The sequence below is a fragment of the Homo sapiens genome, chromosome 1 (genome assembly GCF_000001405.40).
Source record: "Homo sapiens chromosome 1, GRCh38.p14 Primary Assembly".
Taxonomy (NCBI): Eukaryota; Metazoa; Chordata; class Mammalia; order Primates; family Hominidae; genus Homo; species Homo sapiens.
In genome coordinates this window covers 179,081,839-179,098,728 of record NC_000001.11, presented here as the reverse complement: position 1 = coordinate 179,098,728, position 16,890 = coordinate 179,081,839, and the positions used below count along the sequence as shown (strand labels likewise).

At 52.3% G+C, this 16,890-nt stretch overlaps 1 protein-coding gene across 1 annotated transcript, besides 8 other annotated features; it reads right to left on the bottom strand.

The window, feature by feature from the left end:
• TOR3A (torsin family 3 member A) lies at positions 2,733–16,659 on the bottom strand. Its single transcript, NM_022371.4, has 6 exons — positions 16,342–16,659; positions 15,676–15,789; positions 12,836–13,101; positions 10,640–10,818; positions 4,512–4,636; positions 2,733–3,761 (listed from the first exon to the last, which is right to left on the bottom strand). The coding sequence occupies exons 1-6, from the start codon at positions 16,598–16,600 to the stop codon at positions 3,511–3,513; spliced, it is 1,194 nt and encodes a 397-aa protein (NP_071766.2). The 5' UTR covers positions 16,601–16,659; the 3' UTR covers positions 2,733–3,510.
• Positions 6,271–6,771: an enhancer, noted in NCBI's record as "H3K27ac-H3K4me1 hESC enhancer chr1:179061093-179061593 (GRCh37/hg19 assembly coordinates)". NCBI's record gives its function as "activates a minimal SCP1, AML or CMV promoter by ChIP-STARR-seq in primed H9 embryonic stem cells {active_cell/tissue: H9 hESC(primed)}" and the evidence as "EXISTENCE:reporter gene assay evidence [ECO:0000049][PMID:30033119]".
• Positions 6,772–7,272: an enhancer, noted in NCBI's record as "H3K27ac-H3K4me1 hESC enhancer chr1:179060592-179061092 (GRCh37/hg19 assembly coordinates)". NCBI's record gives its function as "activates a minimal SCP1, AML or CMV promoter by ChIP-STARR-seq in primed H9 embryonic stem cells {active_cell/tissue: H9 hESC(primed)}" and the evidence as "EXISTENCE:reporter gene assay evidence [ECO:0000049][PMID:30033119]".
• Positions 9,290–10,191: an enhancer, noted in NCBI's record as "H3K27ac-H3K4me1 hESC enhancer chr1:179057673-179058574 (GRCh37/hg19 assembly coordinates)". NCBI's record gives its function as "activates a minimal SCP1, AML or CMV promoter by ChIP-STARR-seq in primed H9 embryonic stem cells {active_cell/tissue: H9 hESC(primed)}" and the evidence as "EXISTENCE:reporter gene assay evidence [ECO:0000049][PMID:30033119]".
• Positions 10,192–11,093: an enhancer, noted in NCBI's record as "H3K27ac-H3K4me1 hESC enhancer chr1:179056771-179057672 (GRCh37/hg19 assembly coordinates)". NCBI's record gives its function as "activates a minimal SCP1, AML or CMV promoter by ChIP-STARR-seq in primed H9 embryonic stem cells {active_cell/tissue: H9 hESC(primed)}" and the evidence as "EXISTENCE:reporter gene assay evidence [ECO:0000049][PMID:30033119]".
• Positions 12,343–12,843: an enhancer, noted in NCBI's record as "H3K4me1 hESC enhancer chr1:179055021-179055521 (GRCh37/hg19 assembly coordinates)". NCBI's record gives its function as "activates a minimal SCP1, AML or CMV promoter by ChIP-STARR-seq in naive H9 embryonic stem cells {active_cell/tissue: H9 hESC(naive)}" and the evidence as "EXISTENCE:reporter gene assay evidence [ECO:0000049][PMID:30033119]".
• Positions 15,035–15,094: a silencer, noted in NCBI's record as "silent region_1587". NCBI's record gives its function as "represses an Ori minimal core promoter by ATAC-STARR-seq in GM12878 lymphoblastoid cells {active_cell/tissue: GM12878}" and the evidence as "EXISTENCE:reporter gene assay evidence [ECO:0000049][PMID:35858748]".
• Positions 16,085–16,254: a silencer, noted in NCBI's record as "silent region_1586". NCBI's record gives its function as "represses an Ori minimal core promoter by ATAC-STARR-seq in GM12878 lymphoblastoid cells {active_cell/tissue: GM12878}" and the evidence as "EXISTENCE:reporter gene assay evidence [ECO:0000049][PMID:35858748]".
• Positions 16,395–16,684: a silencer, noted in NCBI's record as "silent region_1585". NCBI's record gives its function as "represses an Ori minimal core promoter by ATAC-STARR-seq in GM12878 lymphoblastoid cells {active_cell/tissue: GM12878}" and the evidence as "EXISTENCE:reporter gene assay evidence [ECO:0000049][PMID:35858748]".

The following is a 16,890-nucleotide window of genomic DNA, read 5'->3' as shown; positions in this document are numbered from 1 at the left end:
CTCTCAAAATCCATTCTGAGGACAACTCCAAGTAAGTTCTAAGTGTTTTGAGTCAATGTAGCATTTATAGAGTAGGTGTAGAACCTCACAGGATAACATTCTATTCTTGTTTGACGTGGTCTTCAAGTTTTTATGAATGAGTTATTGCTTTTAGAAGTAACCTTAACAGGTATGGGTAGAATATACACAAGTTGTGCGTACGTGAGGCCCAATTGAAAAGGCTGGTAAGCAGCAGTTTATACACCTCCTCACACTCCACCTTCAGTCCTTTTCTCCCACTCATTTTTGGTTGTCTAGAAAGTCTTTTTAGAATCTTCCAAGAATCTCTCAATGTGATTTGACTTACGATATTTTTTTTTTTTTTTGAGACGGAGTTTCCCTCTGTTGCCCAGGATGGAGTGCAGTGGCACGATCTCGGCTCACTGCAACCTCCACCTCCCGGGTTCAAGCCGTTCTTCTGCCTCAGCCTCCCAAGGAGCTACGACTACAGGTGCGTGCTACCATGCCCAGCTAATTTTTGTATTTTTAGTAGAGATGGGCTTTCACCATGTTGGCTAGGCTGATCCGGAACTCCTGACCTCAAGTGATCCACCCGCCTTGGCCTTCCAAAGTGCTGGGATGAGTTTGCCCACTGCCTAGACAGAGCCAGTTTATCAGGACAGAAGAACTGCGATGGCGAAAGAATAATTCACACAGAGCTGGCTGTGCGGGAGACCGGAGTTTTATTATTACTCAAATCAGTCTCAGAAAACTTGGGGATCAGAGTTTTTAAGGATAATTTGGTGAGTAAAAGCATGGGGAATCGAAGCTGTTCTCTTCTGCTGAGTCAGTTCCTAGGTGGGGGCCACAGAACTGGTTGGCAGGTCCAGGTGGGGCCATCTGGTTGTTAGAAATGAAAAACCTGAAAAGACATCAAAAAGGCCAATCTTAGGCTCACAATAGTGACGTTAACCTTCAGGAGTAATTGGGGAAGTTGCAAATCTTAGGACCTCTAGAATAATGGCTGGTAAGAATTCCAGTTTCTCTCATCTTGACTTGGTGGCCTTTCATTTGTTTTACAAGAACTGTTTAGCCTTTTGGGAAGGGCTATTTTTTGACAAACTATACACAAAAATCCTTCCCAAAGCTAGTTTGGCCTATGCCCAGGAATGAACAAGGACAGTTTAGAGGTTAGCAACAAGATGGGGTCAGTTAGGTCTGATATGTCACTCATAATTTTCTCAGTTTATGAATTTTGCAAAAGCGGTTTCATAGGCACTTTATAAAGATGAACTCATGTCATCCAGCAACCCTGTGAGGTAGGTAGTTATGCTGGAGTGGACACTGAGGCTAAACTGCTTTCCCATGGCCTCACAGTGCTAAGTGATGAAACCATGGCTCCAGCCCTGGTAGTCTGGCTCCAGAGCATGTGTTTGGAACCACTATATTCTGCTGCTTGTCTTGGTTCCCAAGGTGGGAGGTTCAGATCCTCTATTTATGACACCAAACACAGCTGGCCAGTGCTGGAACGAATGCCACGTGTTCTGTCTCTGAGACTTACCCTTCAACGAGTGTATTCAGTGTGTTTAGAGCCTGGTGTGCAGTAGCATCGGGTGGCCTACATCTTCTGGGATGCTTGAGACGGAAGACCTGTGAGTAGGAAGCTAACACTGGCTCCATCTGATTGTACCATTAGGCCGAGTTCTCTTTTATCCCTTGAGTGGTATGAAACTAAAACCCTTTTATTTCATTGATTTGAATATTTGAGTACCTAATGTGGCTCAGGGTAGGTACTTTCTAACCTTGAGGCAGTTGAGTAAATGAGCACAATAAACTGTTGAATGTGGGAGAGACAGAAGTGTTTCATTTTACAAGAACTAAAGGAGAGAGGGTTGAGGAAGGCTTTTATTTTTTTTACTTTACTTTGAGATGGAGTTTCGCTCGTCACCCAGGCTGAAGTGCAATGGTGCGATCTCGGACCATTGCACCCACCACCTCCTGGGTTCAAGTGATTCTCCTGCCTCAGCCTCCCGAGTAGCTGCGACTATAGGTGCATGCCACCTCACCTGGTTAATTTTTGTTTAATAGAGACGGGGTTTCACCACGTTAGCCAGGCTGGTCTTGAACTCCTGATGTCAGGTAATGTGAGGAAGGCTTAAATTAAGAAAGGACGTGAGATGATGACAAATAGAAAAGACAGAAAAGGCTAGGCATAGTGGCTCACGCCTATAATCCCAACACTTTGGGAGGCTGAGGCAGGAAGATAGCTTGAGCCCAGGAGTTCCAGACCAGCCTGGGCAACATAGTGACACCCTGACTCTATATGTGTGTATAATTAATATATAAAAAACATAGGGAAAAAAGACCTGTGTTATTCCAGAGGCATGGGAGAAGAACCAAGAAAAGGGGAAAGGCACATAATGAACACTGTGTCTAGGCACAGTGCTACATGTCTACACGGTGCCATTTAATCCTCAGAATGACTGCTTTTCTTTTTATAGCTGAGAGTACAGGAGTGAACATTTTCATATATAAGAGCAATGTGCTATGGGAGTCTCTTCAGTAGGAGGTTGGCATGACTTGGCTTCACTGATGTGGTCCCAAAGCAAACAGACTAGACAGGCAGACCAGTCACATACCCTGCCAGCTCCGTGTGTGCCAGCATCTGCCCTGTCTCTGCCAGGCCTTATCAGGATTACCCAGTGTTTGTTTGAAATTTTGCTAGGTCTCAGAAACAGAAAGTACGCCAAGGATTTTAGGAAAATCAAAAATTTTAATCTTATCATCTTTACATACAACAAACATGTCAAGACCCCCTATTGTCTTTGAAAAGGTCCCCCCTCCCCCGCCAAAATCTGTAGACCATAAGTCTTGGCCTACACTGACCTGGTTTGTAAAATATCTTCCTCTGTGTACTTTTCCCTTCAGCCTCAGGCTCTTGGCTGATTCGCTCACAACAGAAGCAGCTTGGCTTTCCTCTGGAAGTACCAATTTGAAAGCCCACCAGCCTGCAAACCTAGAGTGTATTCTCCACCCCTGGGTCACAGAACTTCGTTCTCCCCGGCTCTGTAACCCAAGGACCCTACAGCCTCTGAGGCCTAACACCCAAGCTCTTCCTTGCAGAAGAGCTGAGATGCTAAGGAGACCATCTGGAGTGTCATAATAAGCCCTTGGGATTTGCTGAGCTCCCACATGGCTTTCTTCAACCACCTGGCCCACTTTCTTCAACCACATTCCACTTTGGAATGCGTGTCTTTAAGGCACCAAGTGATCTTAAGAATGGGCTCTGTTTTTGAATTCAGCAATCCAAGTTCCTATCTATCTCGGTGGGACCTCCAAAAAAAAGAAAAAGGATTGGCTTGGCTTCTAATGTAAGGCCTGCCTTTTACACACCAGTTGTGTGTTTGTTAGTGGCTGCTGGATGCCAGTCCACACCCTCAAACACCTCACAGTCCCAAACGGGGTGCTCCTACAGGTCCCAGGGTCCTGTTAGTGGAAGAAAGGCAGTTCCAGGAAGTCTTCCTCTAGCCTTCATGACAGGAAGTAGTTAATCCTCTGGGAAATAGACTTGCAGCCCTGGGAAGAAAAGAGTTGTTCCTCCTTGGGGACATACACCATCATCTGGGCTATTTCATCCAGTGTCTCTTCTTTATACAGGAGCTCCTGGCTCAGGAAGGCATCCCGTGCACACAGCCTCACGTGACGGTACTCCAAAGGCAGGAAGGGGATGAAGTAGTCAATCAGGTTTTCCTTCACAAGACGGCTGTGGCCAAAGCCATTGTCTGAAAGCAAGACCAAAGTTACATGGAGTCTGACCTAGGACTGAACCTAGCTGGAATTTAGCGGGGGTGGGGGTTGCTGTTGGTTTCTTTGAAACAGGGGCTTGCTCTGTCAACCAGGCTGGAGTGCAGTGGTGAGATCTGGGCTCCTTGCAGCCTCCACCTCCTAGGTTCAAGGGATCCTCCCATCTCAGCCTGTGAGTAACTGGGACCACAGGCGTACAGCACCACACCTGGCTAATTTTTGTTTTTTTTCTAGAGACGGGGTTTCACTATGTTGGCCAGACTGGTCTAGATCTCCTGGACTCAAGTGATCCGCCCGCCTCAGCCTCCCAAAGTGTTGGGATTACAGGTGTGAGCCACCACACCTGGCCCCGACTGAAGGGGCTGGGTGAGGTTGGATCTCATCTCTCAACTCCAGGAGTGCTGTCTGCAGCGTATGTCAAGAACTCTACAGCTGTGTCTCCTTTAGGTAAAGTCTTGCAGTGAGACTCAGAGTCTCAGGCTTCAGAGACCACTGCGCCTGTTCTTGGGGCCAGTGCAAACTACTATTTCCAAGCATTCCCAGAAAAGGAGCTCAGGCTTTCTTACCACTTTTCTTGTGCCCACCCAGGGTTGACAATGTGAGATGATTATAGTCTGCCCTCTGTGTTCCCAAGTACCCTGTCTGCTTCATAAACACACATTCCAACAAACACATTAATTATCACCAGCTGTGGCTCTCACCAGAGGCATATTGAGTCAGTTACTCACCTATGGTCTCCACAATCTCCGCCTGGAGGTGGGGCTCCAGGTGTTCCATCGTAATTTCTTCCCGGGACCATCCAGCCTTGAGCAACTTTAGGACCACCTCATTGATTATATCGCCCCTGAGATTACTGAAAGAGACAAGAGCTTGTTAACCCATTTGTTTATATTTAGCTTCCATATATGTTATCTCACCGCTGAAACCAATGCATTAGTGCCTGGAAGAATAGAGGCTGAGGGGCGTGGACCTTCTCTCTCTTCCAGGAGACCTTGTCACAACCTCACAACCCAAAGGTCTGCACAGAAAAGACACTGTCCAGTTTTGCCACCCATTCTCTCTTGTTCCCTCTTGACACACACTTACTGAGACTGTGCTAAGTGCAGGGAGCATGAAAAGATGGTAAGATATGGTTCTTCTGTGTGGTCTGAGGGGCATCCGTGTATTCGGTTCCAGGACAGTGTGGCAAGCGCTAATGGAGGAGTGACTGAGTTCTAAGGAGAAGGCTTCAGAGGGAGGATGAGGCTTCTGAGCAAATAAAGACCAAGTAGTGATCATCAGACACTTGGCAAGGAAGGGAAGTGTCTAGGCCTGGGTGCGCCAGAGGAGCACAGGCATGAAAGGCTGGCTAAGGTGAGGAGGGCTTTGTCTGCCATTTGCATGGACTTGAGCTTATGGATCATGGAGAAGGGATGGAAAGGAGGATTTAAGAATTAGTTATGGAGGCACAATTGAAAAACCCTGTAACTGATGGATGTGAGAAGTGAAAGGAGGTCATCAAAGAACAAGCGTTAGCCTCAAGCTGCTTGCTGTCCCCCTTAACAGAGGTGGAACACGGAAAGGTGGAGATGAAAGTTTGGTTTTACACACGTTTGAGTGTTTTTTGCTTGCCTGTGATCTCTCTCAGGTTGTGATATCACTGGGCAACTGGAATTACGGGTCTGAAGCACAGAAAGTGATTTGGGTTAGAGATAGGAGGGAGAAAGGGGATAAGGAGAGAAGATGCAACCGTAGAGCCACCAGCAGGGAAGCTGGGACAGAGGTAGTGGAGACTTGGCCTTCCTCCGCCCTCCACGGCCCAGGCATACTTCTCCCCCACCTCACTGCACTCTCCTCCCCTCCCTGGGCTGCAGCCTCAGCCAGCTCCACCAGCTCCTTAAACCAAGTCCTTGCCCAGCTCCACATCAATGCACTTGCACTTCCCCGTGCTTTCTCTCTTTTTGGAGACAGTCTCATTCTGTCACCCAGATTGGAGTACAGTGGCGTGATTTTGGCTCACTGCAGCCTCCACCTCCCCAGGCTCAGCTGATCCTCTCACCTCAGCCTCCTAAGTAGCTGAGACTGCAGGTACATGCCACCCTACCCAGCTATTTTTTTTTTTCTTGAGACAGAGTTTCACTCTTGTTGCCCAGGCTGGAGTGCAGTGGCGTGATCTCAGCTCACAGCAGCCTCTGCCTCCCGGATTCAAGAGATTCTCCTGCCTCAGCCTCCCAAGTAGCTGGGATTACAGGCACATGCCACAATGCCCAGCTAATTTTTTTAGTAGAGACAGGGTTTCACCATGTTGGCCAGGCTGGTCTCAAACTCCTGACCTCAGCTGATCTGCCCGCCTCCCAAAGTGCTAGGATGACAGGTGTGCCCGGCCCTATTTTTAAAATTTTTTTGTAGAGACGAGGTCTCACTATGTTCCCTAGGCTGGTCTCAAACTCCTAGGCTCAAGTGATTCTCCCACCTCAGTCTCCCAAAGTGTTGGGATGACAGGCATGAGCCACTAGGCCTAGCCTCCCTTGCATTTTCCTCAGGTCCAGCAGAATGAGGGAGGGTAAAGGACAGGGAAGGCAGGTGGCAGGTTAAGGAGTGGGGAACCAGTATCTCCATCTCTTTCCCTCCTTACCCAGCTCTGAAAGCCCCCATGACACCTACCAGTATATTAGCTCACATCTTTGCTCATTTAGCCTGTGACCACACCCTGTTGACTAGGCTCCATGGGGGCTGCTGGGAAATGAGGGGAGCTGTGTGGTTCTCTCCCTCCCTGCCTCCACCATTGCGTAGAGGCTAAGGCTGGGCAGGCGTCCTTCCCTGCCACGCAGGTTAAGCCCGGACAGCCAAGTTGTCTAGCTAGGTGCCTCATTGTAGGGGGAGGTGCTAATGTGTCTTTCACTGCCAGAATTTACCAGGGGCTGAGAGCTCCCAGCTGGAGGAGCCCGGCAGGAACAAGGGCCATCTGCAGTGCTTGCTCAAGGTCAGTTGCTCAGCCAGGCTTTCCCCGGGGAAGCTGCTCACACCACTCTTCCACTTTCTGACACTGCCCCTGCTGCAGGAAGGCCTTCCAGGCACATGATCTGTGCACACAGGAGCAGCCACAGTTGCATCAGCTGAGGCAAGACCCTGCTGCCAGGGCATTGCCCCATCCTGCATTCCCCACAGGAGGCAGGCAGCACTGTTTACCTTGGCAGGGGCTGGAAGGCAGGATCCAGGGTGCTGTGAAACCCCACAGAGTGATACTCCCTCACCCCATCCTAGGGGCATGGACTCCAGGGCCTTCTCCATTCTGTAAGGTGCTTACATGGGTAAAGAGAGGTCCCATCACATAGGGCAGGAAGCTTGGCCTGTTTATTTCTGTAACCCCAGTGCTATGTGCGTATCAGGCACTCAGCCTTTAGTAAATAAAGGGACATCTCTGCACATGTGTCTGCACCATCTCCACCCTTCTCAATCTCTCCTGTTTTGTCCCATAGCCAAAGTCCCTTTTCTTCCACCACTTTAGAGGCTTTAATCTCACCCACTGACCCATAACCTGGGGCCCCTCTCTACGCGCCGCCCCTCCCATCTTCAGGACCACCACTCTGGCACCAGCGTTCTACCTTTAGACAGACACTGTCTTTCTGGAGCACCTCAATTCCCTTCCACAGCCTCCCAGCTCATCTGCTGACCTGGATCGCTGGGAAGTCTGGAGGGGCCAGAGGGCACCTCTCTCAACCAGCCCTCATCCCCCGTCTCCAGCCCCTGCCAGGGCTGATCTCACCAGCCCTTATCCCTAAGACCCCAAAGGAAGGGGACTTCAGGCCTCACCAGAGAACTGGTTGTTACTGGTAACAAACCCCATGCTAACTGCTACATCTTTCCTAAAGAACAGACATAGACTCAGTCATCTCTTTGAGCCTTAGTGTTCTCATTTATAAAGTCAGGACTGGACCAATCTAAGCTGTCCTCTCATTAGTCAACAGGCAGCCAACAGACACTGGGGGCTGGAGCGCAAGGCCCACCACGACTCCACAAATAATTTCTATTTGTGTAGTTCTGTAATTTTTCAAAGTCCTTTCTATCCTTTTCCTGACAACAGCACAAAGGAAACAGGCTTTAATTACCCTTGTCACTTTACAGCTCCCATGAGAACAGGGCAGCAGCTCCGATCGCAGAGTTCCACGTTCCTGTCCTGCCACGTGAGCCCATTCCTGCAGCCTTCTATACTTGGCAGAAGTGGGCGAAGTAATGTTACTTTCCTGGTGCCCAGTCACCGGCCCCAATTCCCTGGCCCGGATGAAGGACAGGCTCTGAGCACCACACTCAACTCCCTGCTTCAGCTCCCACCTCCTCTCTCCTGCCACCAGGAGGAAGCCAGCAAAGCCACTGGCAACTCACTTCAAACAGCAGGTTTAGGATTTATTTCAGAATTAAACTGCTGCTCTTCCTTCGTGCAGTATGACTTGGTCACTCTAGCAGTTTGAATCAGCTGTGCTTTTCTTTCATGCCCTAGAATCCTTATTACAGTGGATGATTAACTGAAGCTCATTATAGAAATCAAGTCCAGAGACTCCAATATCAACAGTGTGTCTCCTCCCAGCCATCGCTGGACTACCTGAGAACTTGAGGTTGAGAGGCTGCTGCCCTGGACAGCCTGGGCACAGACTATGTCAGCCCAGCCCTCGGCTGGAGGGGGGAACCTCTGGCTCGTAAAGGCTGGGCACAGGCCCACACCAGAGCCACTAGAACCTAAGGCCACATCTTTTTAATGTGTCCTTTACATCCTTGTCAAAGGCTCCTGGGGGACCTCCCCACCCTGCTGTGGCATGGAGGAGTCTGGCAGGCGGCTTTCCCGCAGGCCCCCCCCCCCACCCCGCCCACAACCACATGGCCTCGGACAGTCCACCCAGGCTGGGTCACTGGGGGAAAGGACAGGCAGCTGGAGGGTGGTGCTGTCAGGTCGACGGCCAAAATACTACAAAGGCTATAACATTTGCCTGGAGACTGCAGGGTCACCGGGTCACGTTAGGCAATCACGGCCCAGGTGAGGTTTTCCAAGCTGAGAAGTGGGTGGGAGAGTCTGTGTGGCCGGCACCACCTGAAGCCGGGAGACCCCTGTCTCGGGGAGAGGGAGGAGGAAGACACTCAGCGCAAGGGAGATCCCTGTGGAAGCGAAAGGGAGGCCCGAGGCTGGGTCACCATGCTTTGCTCCGTGCCGTGGGAAGGACTGGCTTCCGCATCGGTGGTTCAGAGGGTCCCCTGGACTGCCCGACCCAGGGCTCAGGTGGAGAAACCACAGAGCACCCAGGTGACTCCTCTGTTCAGGCTCATCTGCATGTTGCAGCCCCCACCTGACTCTCTGTAACAGGAGGAGAGGTGAGCCCGGCTGCCTCCGAAGGTGGGAAATAGTACAGAACGTGGGAATAAGAACTAACTGGAAGAATGTATTGTCCTCACCTCCTGGTTCTGGGCACCCAAATCATGCAAGAGATCTCTCTCTCCTCTTAAAAATCACCCTGGGCGCCCCACTCCCCTCCCACTTCGCAATGCATTTTAAGTCTCCACAGCTTCACCTGCAGACCAGGAAGGGCTTCCCGCCACTACACAGAAATCCCAACCCAGCAACGGCTTAAACCTGTTTCACTTTTTTTTTTTTTTTTGAGATGGAGTCTCTCTCTTGTTGCCCAGGCGGGAGTGCAATGGTGTGATCTCAGCTCACTGCAACCTCTGCCTCCCAGGTTCAAGTGATTCTCCTGCCTCAGCCTCCCGAGTAGCTGGGATTACAGGCACCTGCCACCACACCCAGCTAATTTTTGTATTTTTAGTAGACAGGCCACTGCGCCTGGACCCTGTTTCACTTCCTCTTGTGAATCCACACCGAAACTAGATCTGCCCTCCACAGCTCAACCCTTCACCCCTCCACACTCCCCAAGCTAGGATGAAAATCAGCATCCCCTCACCAACTTCCCCATCCTCACAAAGTGAGCCCTGCAGCTTGGGAAACCCCCCCAGCAAGCAAGTGCTGGCCTGGGGAAGGCGAGGCCGGAGTGGAGTTGGGAAGGGAGCACTCAGTTTGACTCCTACCGAGGCTCGAGCTGTTGTGAAGCCTTCAAATTGGGTCAACAAGGGCCCAAACTTGACTTGTAACAGACACAGGACTCCCCCAGTTGGAGCCTCCGCAAAAAGATGAGGTTGGACAAGTTATTTCTAAGTTGGCTTCACGCAAAGATGTCAGTGAAAGCACAGGAACCTCAGTGCAGTGATTCAGTGACTGGGTCCCGCATGGTAGCGTCACAACTGAACTACAGGTACTCAGAGGAAGCATGGGTTTCTCAACCCGTATACCCTGGATTTTAAGCCAGTGATGACTTCTCATAATCGGAGAAGAAACAGACTTCCAAGGCTGAAGGAAGAAATGGCCGTGTTGGACTTGATGGGAGACTATGCCGTTCTCTAACCAGGCTTGCCTTGGGAATTTGTTTCAAAAAATCTGTCACCCAGATTGGAGTGCAGTGGCCCGATCTCAGCTCACTGCAACCCCCACCTCCTGGGTTCAAGCGATTCTCCCACCTCAGCCTCCCGAGTAGCTGGGACTACAGGCACATGTCACCACGCCCAGCTAATTTTTATATTTTTTGTAGAGATGGGGTTTCACTATGTTGCCCAGGCTGGTCTTGAACTCCTGGACTCAAGGGACCCGGCCGCCTTGGCCTCCCAAAGTGCTGGGATTACAGGCGTGAGCTACCACAGCTGGCTGCTGCTTTCTGTACCAGAGTTTGTGCTGTTTTTTCTTGAGGAAAGGTTCTGAACCTGGGGGCGTGTGGAAGCCTCCACTGCCAGCTAGTATCTTCCCCTCCCCCAGCCCTCCTGACTATTGTTCCCCAGAACCCACCTGAGAAACAGAAAGATAGTCCATGGAGACTCAGCCCTGTGGCCCTCAGGGGCCCGGCGTTCTAAGTGTGGCCCAAGGACCTCCAGCAGCCCTGGGTGCAGCTTCTCCGCTTCATCGAAGATGAACAGGGTCTGGTGGCAGAGCTGCTGCGTCTCCCGGATCTGGCTCATCAGCTGCTCCTGCACGGGATATAGGGAGCAGCTGGGGAAGTGGTGACTCCTTCCACCTCCGGCCTTGAGGGCGTGGTTTCCCCTGGGCATGTGCAATGGACCCCCTGGGGCTGGGTTCCCCACCCCCCGCCCCCCGCCAGAACCTATCAAATCCAAGCTCTTGGGGAGGGCCTAGGACATTTGCATCTGACCAGCTCCCAGGTGATTCTCAAGCACCCTGAGGGTTGAAAGCTAAACAAGGTGAAGCCAGCTTGGGGACTAGGAGACAGCCTAGAAAGGAGTGGGGAGAAGCCCTTCTGCCCTTGAGAAGGGGCCCCTGCTCCAGCCCTGCTCTCTCCTCTCCAGGACTACATCCCATCCAGGAGCTAACAATGTCCACACACCCGCAAACTTTCATTACTTCTACAACAAAAACATCCAGGCGCAACTTCCCTGTTTAAGCTCAGGGTCTATTCCCAGGGGGTGGATAGGAGTTGAGCTTTCATACAGGGGTGATGGGCAAAGAGAGGCTCATGTGCCCAGAGGCAGCCACAGTCCCCTGCCCTGAACTCCCGGGTGCAGAGCGCCCACTGGCACCCTGGCTGGGCCGAGATCTCAGGGGAGCAAGCCTGCTGAAGGACTGACTGGGCCTAACCAACATCCAACTTGGCTCCTGCAAGCTGTGGAGGGTTCCTTGCCCCAGGCAAGACAGTAAACCCTCAAGTGAAAAGATGGTTCTTTGCAATGTTCATCGAAATGGGCAGGGAATATATTATTCAGGGCCAGCTCCCACTCCAGAGCCCACACTCCCTGTCTACTGGGTGCACCTTTGTGGGGGAAAGTGTGAGGTGCAGGGCTATGCACATGCCAGTTTTCACAGCAGGGAAGCTGGGGCTGCAGCAGTCTTGCCACAGTCTAAGCCAGACAGTTCTGCCCGGAAAGGCCCAGCTCAGCCTGCCCCTGCCCTCCAAAGCCATATGGAAACTGCCAGGAGACGCGGGCAGCCTCTGTCCTCAGACGCTGACATAATCTTCCCAGGTGAACACATTCCAAATATTAAAACAAAGCCAAAGACAGGTGCAGTCAATTCTGTCAGGCTCTTCTGGTATGTTTTCAATACTACATGGCTGAATTAGTAGAAGAAACCCAAAATGGCAGAACAGCCAAGGAAATTTCTGTCCATCCACTTGCTGGTATATAATAAGCTGATACGGGAAGACATGAAAAAATCAGGTAAGATAGGATAGGCCTGTTTTCTTTTTTTTTTTTTTTTTTGAGATGGAGTCTTGCTCTGTTGCCCAGGCTGGAGTGCAGCGGCACGATCTCGGCTCACTGCAAGCTCCGCCTCCCGGGTTCACGCCATTCTCCGGCCTCAGCCTCCCGAGTAGCTGAGACTACAGGTGCCCGCCACCACGCCCAGCTAAGTTTTTGTATTTTTAGTAGAGACGGGGTTTCACCGTGTTAGCCAGGATGGTCTCGATCTCCTGACCTCGTGATCCACCCACCTAGGCTTCCCAAAGTGCTGGGATTACAGGCGTGAGCCACCATGTCCGGCCAATAGGCCTGTTTAAATTTTAAAAAGGCAGGATATACAACTTTCTGTCCAACGTAGTTACAATGACAAAGAGCCTGGGGAAAGGTTCCGCACCAAAGGCAGCACATAAAATGCTACCTCTCCTTAGCTGACAAGGGTGTGTCCGTGTGGAGAGTCTGACAGTTTTTGCTTTTCTCTGTTCTACACTGCAGTCTGTGACATTTCACTACTTCTACAACAAAAATCAACATGCAGCGTCCCTGCTTAAGCGCAGTGTCCAGCCTCTCGAGTGTGGCTGTTTGGGGACAGAGCAGGGGGTGGTGTTTGGAACGCCAGTCTCTTCCACATGCTAAGGGCCTCTGTGAGGAGTGGACGGAGTGGCTCTGTCACAGGTTCTGCCACCTGTCCCCACCTCCCCAGGCTTCTCCAGAGCCCATTTCCTTGCAAGGAAGGGCTGGCAGAAGGGTCTCCCTCCCAGCACAGAGGCCTCACCCCAGCCCTGGTCGGCCTCACCTTGTACAGGTCCACATATTTGGGGTGAGGAAAGTGGAACGTGGCGATGAACATCCTGACACAGTCACTCATCAGCCCGTCCCGATACAGGTTCTCCACCAGCATCCGTGCCACGAAGTTCTTGCCTGTGCCAGACCAGCCGTGGAACGACAGAGCAAGGGCCTTTTCTGGCTGGGGCGTCTCTAAGTAGCCCCTCACTGTTCTTAGGACCAGCTGCTGGACCAAATGCTGGCCATGCAGCCGCACATTCAGGTCCCACTCTAAGCCTAAGGACAGGAAAGAGGTAGTCACAGCAAAAGGCACACACAGGCCCATCCACCACAACAGCCAACAGCCAAGAAACCAAGCAACTCTGAATCTCTCTCGGGTGGAATCAGTTACTCCTCCTGTTTGGCCTTAGAATAAGAAGCCAGAGGGCAGACTTTGTAGCAGAAGGGATTCAAGGACTACTTTCTTTTTTTTTTTTTTTTTGAGATGGAGTCTTGCTCTGTCACCAGGCTGGAGTGCAGTGGCGCAATCTCAGCTCACTGCAACCTCCGCCTCCCTGGTTCAAGCGATTCTCCTGCCTCAGCCTCCCGAGTGGCTGGGATTACAGGTGCCCACCACCATACCCAGCTAATTTTTGTATTTTTAGTAGAGACGGGTTTCACCAGGTTGGCTAGGCTGGTCTTGAACTCCTGACCTCGAGATCCGCCCACCTCGGCCTCCCAAAGTGCTGGGATTACAGGCGTGAGCCATTGCGCCCAGCCTCAAGGACTACTTTTTGAAGAGTTTGGGAAATCAAGATGGGACTCAGGGAGAGTGGAATCACCCTTCCTAAAGATCCTGCAGATACCCAGAACAGTTGGCACAGACCTGTCTAGGGAGGAACCCTGTCCCCCATGTCCTGAGGCTGCTCCCATCCCTTGGTTTCAGGGCTCCCTGTTTTATGGAGAAGCCTGATTTTATTCATTCTCATTCAATTCAGCCAACACTTGGTGAGAGCAGCTCCAGTGTGCAAAGCCTTCTGCTAGGTCTAACTTCCTCCTGTCAGACGTGAGGTTGTAGGATTTGGAGATGGCGCTACCAGGAGCCACAGTGCAGACAGGCAGGGTGTGCGGCCAGCTGTGGGTGAGCATTCCAAATCCAGGATCAATTGGTTGAACACCTTAAGCCAGCCCAGAGCAGGTATTCTGGAGCCTTGGGAGGTCAAGGTCTATGATAAAACATTGAGGGCATCACACATTGCTCCAAAAGTAGTAGTGACATAGAAGAAAATTAACATTTGCTGCTTTTTTCTCTGTATTCAGAACTGGGCTAAGTGTTTTACATTTGGTCTTCACAATTCTGCAAGGCAGGCATTATTATTCCCATTTAAAGCTGAGGAAACTGGCTGGGCGAGGTGGTTCCCGCCTGTAATCCCAGCACTTGGGGAGGCTGAGGCGGGCGGATCACGAGGTCAGGAGTTCGAGACCAGCCTAGCCAACATGGTGAACCCCCTCTCTACTAAAAATACAAAAATTAGCTGGGCATGGTGGTGGGCACCTATAATCCCAGCCACTCGGGAGGCTGAGGGAAGAGAATCGCTTGAACCTGGGAGGCAGAGTTTGCAGTGAGACGAGATTGCTCCAGCCTAGGTGACAGAGACTGACTTGGTCTCAAAATAAATAAGTAAAAAAAATAAAATAAAATACAGCTGAGGAAACGGACACTTGGGAAGGACTCTTCAGTTTGCCAGCAAGGAAGAGGCACGACTAGGAGGGGTCTCCAATCCGCTGGCCAGAACAATTTGGATATCCAGGCCCTTGTCGAACAAAAGGCATGTTGAGGACAGAAAGTAACTTGCTAATTGCTACCTAGGGTCTTATCCAAGTCAGCAGTGATCCAAATTAAGACTTCCTGACCTGTATGTAGTCCTATCTTCTGTCCTGAGCCAGACTGTGTCCCTAAACACACTGTGTTATTGGCATTTTGGCCAATTAAGTGACCTAAATATCTGGGGTGGGCCTCATTTATGGAGATTGAAGGACCTGGGATCAGGAGAACTCTGGGCAAGAAATTGCTCCTGGGGAAAAGAGAGGAAGCTTTTGCAAATGTCTGAACAGGTTTCAGAACATGGGGCCAAAGATCACCTTGTGAGAGTGAAAATGCAAATCAACTGCGATATGCAAATCAAGCAACCCAAACTAATTAGAAAATACTGGTTGCCATGGCACAGTGGCTCACGCCTGTAATCACAGCACTCTTGGAGGCCAAGGCAGGCAAATCACAAGGTCAGGAGTTCGAGACCGGCCTGGCCAACATGGTGAAACCCGCCCCCCCCCCCCCCCCCCGCCTCTACTAAAAATACAGAAATTAGCCGGACGTGGTGGCAGGCACCTGTAATCCCAGCTACTCGGGAGGCTGAGGCAGGAAAATTGCTTGAACCCAGGAGGCGGAGGGTGCAGTGAGCTGAGATCGCACCACTGCACTCCAGTGTGGGTGACAGAGCAAGCCTCCGTCTCAAAAAAAAAAAAGAAAAGAAAGGGACACTTTTAATCACAACCCAGAATTTCTGATCAGTTCTCTCTGGATAGTTCCAGCCCCCTCTGAGAGGTAGCTGTTTCTGTTTAGAGTGAAACAAGGTGCTCTGGGCCTGACAAACAGCTCAGTTTGCCTGGGCTATTAAGCTAGAGGCTAAAAAGGGGCTTCCCTGACTCAAGCATTTGGTACTCCCTCAAAACTTCAGTCAGACTGTGGCAGTTCCTGCTTGTCGGGAGGCTGGGCAGGATGACGAAAGGTCCCTTGCATCTAACCATTTCCCCTGGACTGCCTCCCCTCCCCACAGATCCCTAGCCCCTTGAAGCCATGCGGGGTCCAACCTGTAAAGTTGTTGGAGATTCTGCAATCCCCTCTAGGGCAGCAGTCTTTGAAGCTGCAGTACCACGTGGTCAGGAGGTCCAGGTACCGCTGGCCCAACAGAGGAAGGCGCCAGCCTGGAAAAGGAGGAGCTGTGAGACCGAGAGGAGACCATCCGGTGCTCTACAGTGATGCGGCAACCTTGCCACACAACTTGTCAGGGACAGAGGGACACCCAGAACTCAGATTCTAACTCCCAGCCCCGACTCGGCCCACTGTCGGTCCTCAAGCCCTGCGTCCAAAAGCAGCAAGGGAGACGGCAGTCACCAGGCATGTCCACAGCGGACGTTCCCTAGAGCTGTCAAGAGCAACACCTTCGAATAACGCCAGGGTGGGCTGGGAGATGGCACAGGCGGTGCGAGAGAATCTGGAAAGCGCAGGGATCAGGGGAGGCGGGGGACGGGAAGCCGGGCGCCAGGGGGGTGCGCAGGGGACGCGGGTGGGGCAAGGGCGGTGATGGGGCTCCCTGCTCCGCGGAGGCTGCCCCCGCCCACAGCCGGTACCGGCGGCTGAGCAGAGCAGGACTGCGGGCCCAGATGTCGCCCCGGACAGGAGCGAGGCGACCACAGCCGCGCCCGGATCGCACTCTGCTCCGCAGCGAACGGCGGACCGTGGGGACGGGGTCTTACCCAGGGGCCCCGTGGCTGCCTCCTCGTCCTCGTCACAGTCGTCGGGCCACACCTGGCAGCTGAAGAGCGTCCAGTACCGCTTGGAGAGGGCACCCGCCGCCCTGAGCTGCTCCTGCAGGCGCTGGAAGCCCGGCCAGGCCCAGGCCGAGCCCGGCTCGTCGGTTCCCTCCCACGGCCTGGAGGCGCCGCGGGGCTCAGGCGCGCCCGGGAGCAGCAGCAGGAAAAAGAGCCAAAGCTGGCGCCACGGACCGCGAAGCATGGCCGGCCCCGAGCTGCGGGACCATCCGGCTGCCGGCCTAGCCAGGCTCCCTTAAGCCCGGGGCGGTCAGGCGGGGACCGCACTTCCTAGGCGGGCTTGAACCCGGGATTGGTGTTGCTGTGGCGACCGGCGGGCCGGGCTGAGTGCGCACTGGCAGCCTCCGTACACGTGACCCAGGCGGGAACCCGAAACCCTGTCTGGGGTCCTGAGAGGCAGTCCCGAGACTGACTTCAGGCCAGGTGCAACTAGCCGGCTTCCAGGAAGCAGTTTATTCTGGGTCGTGATTGTGG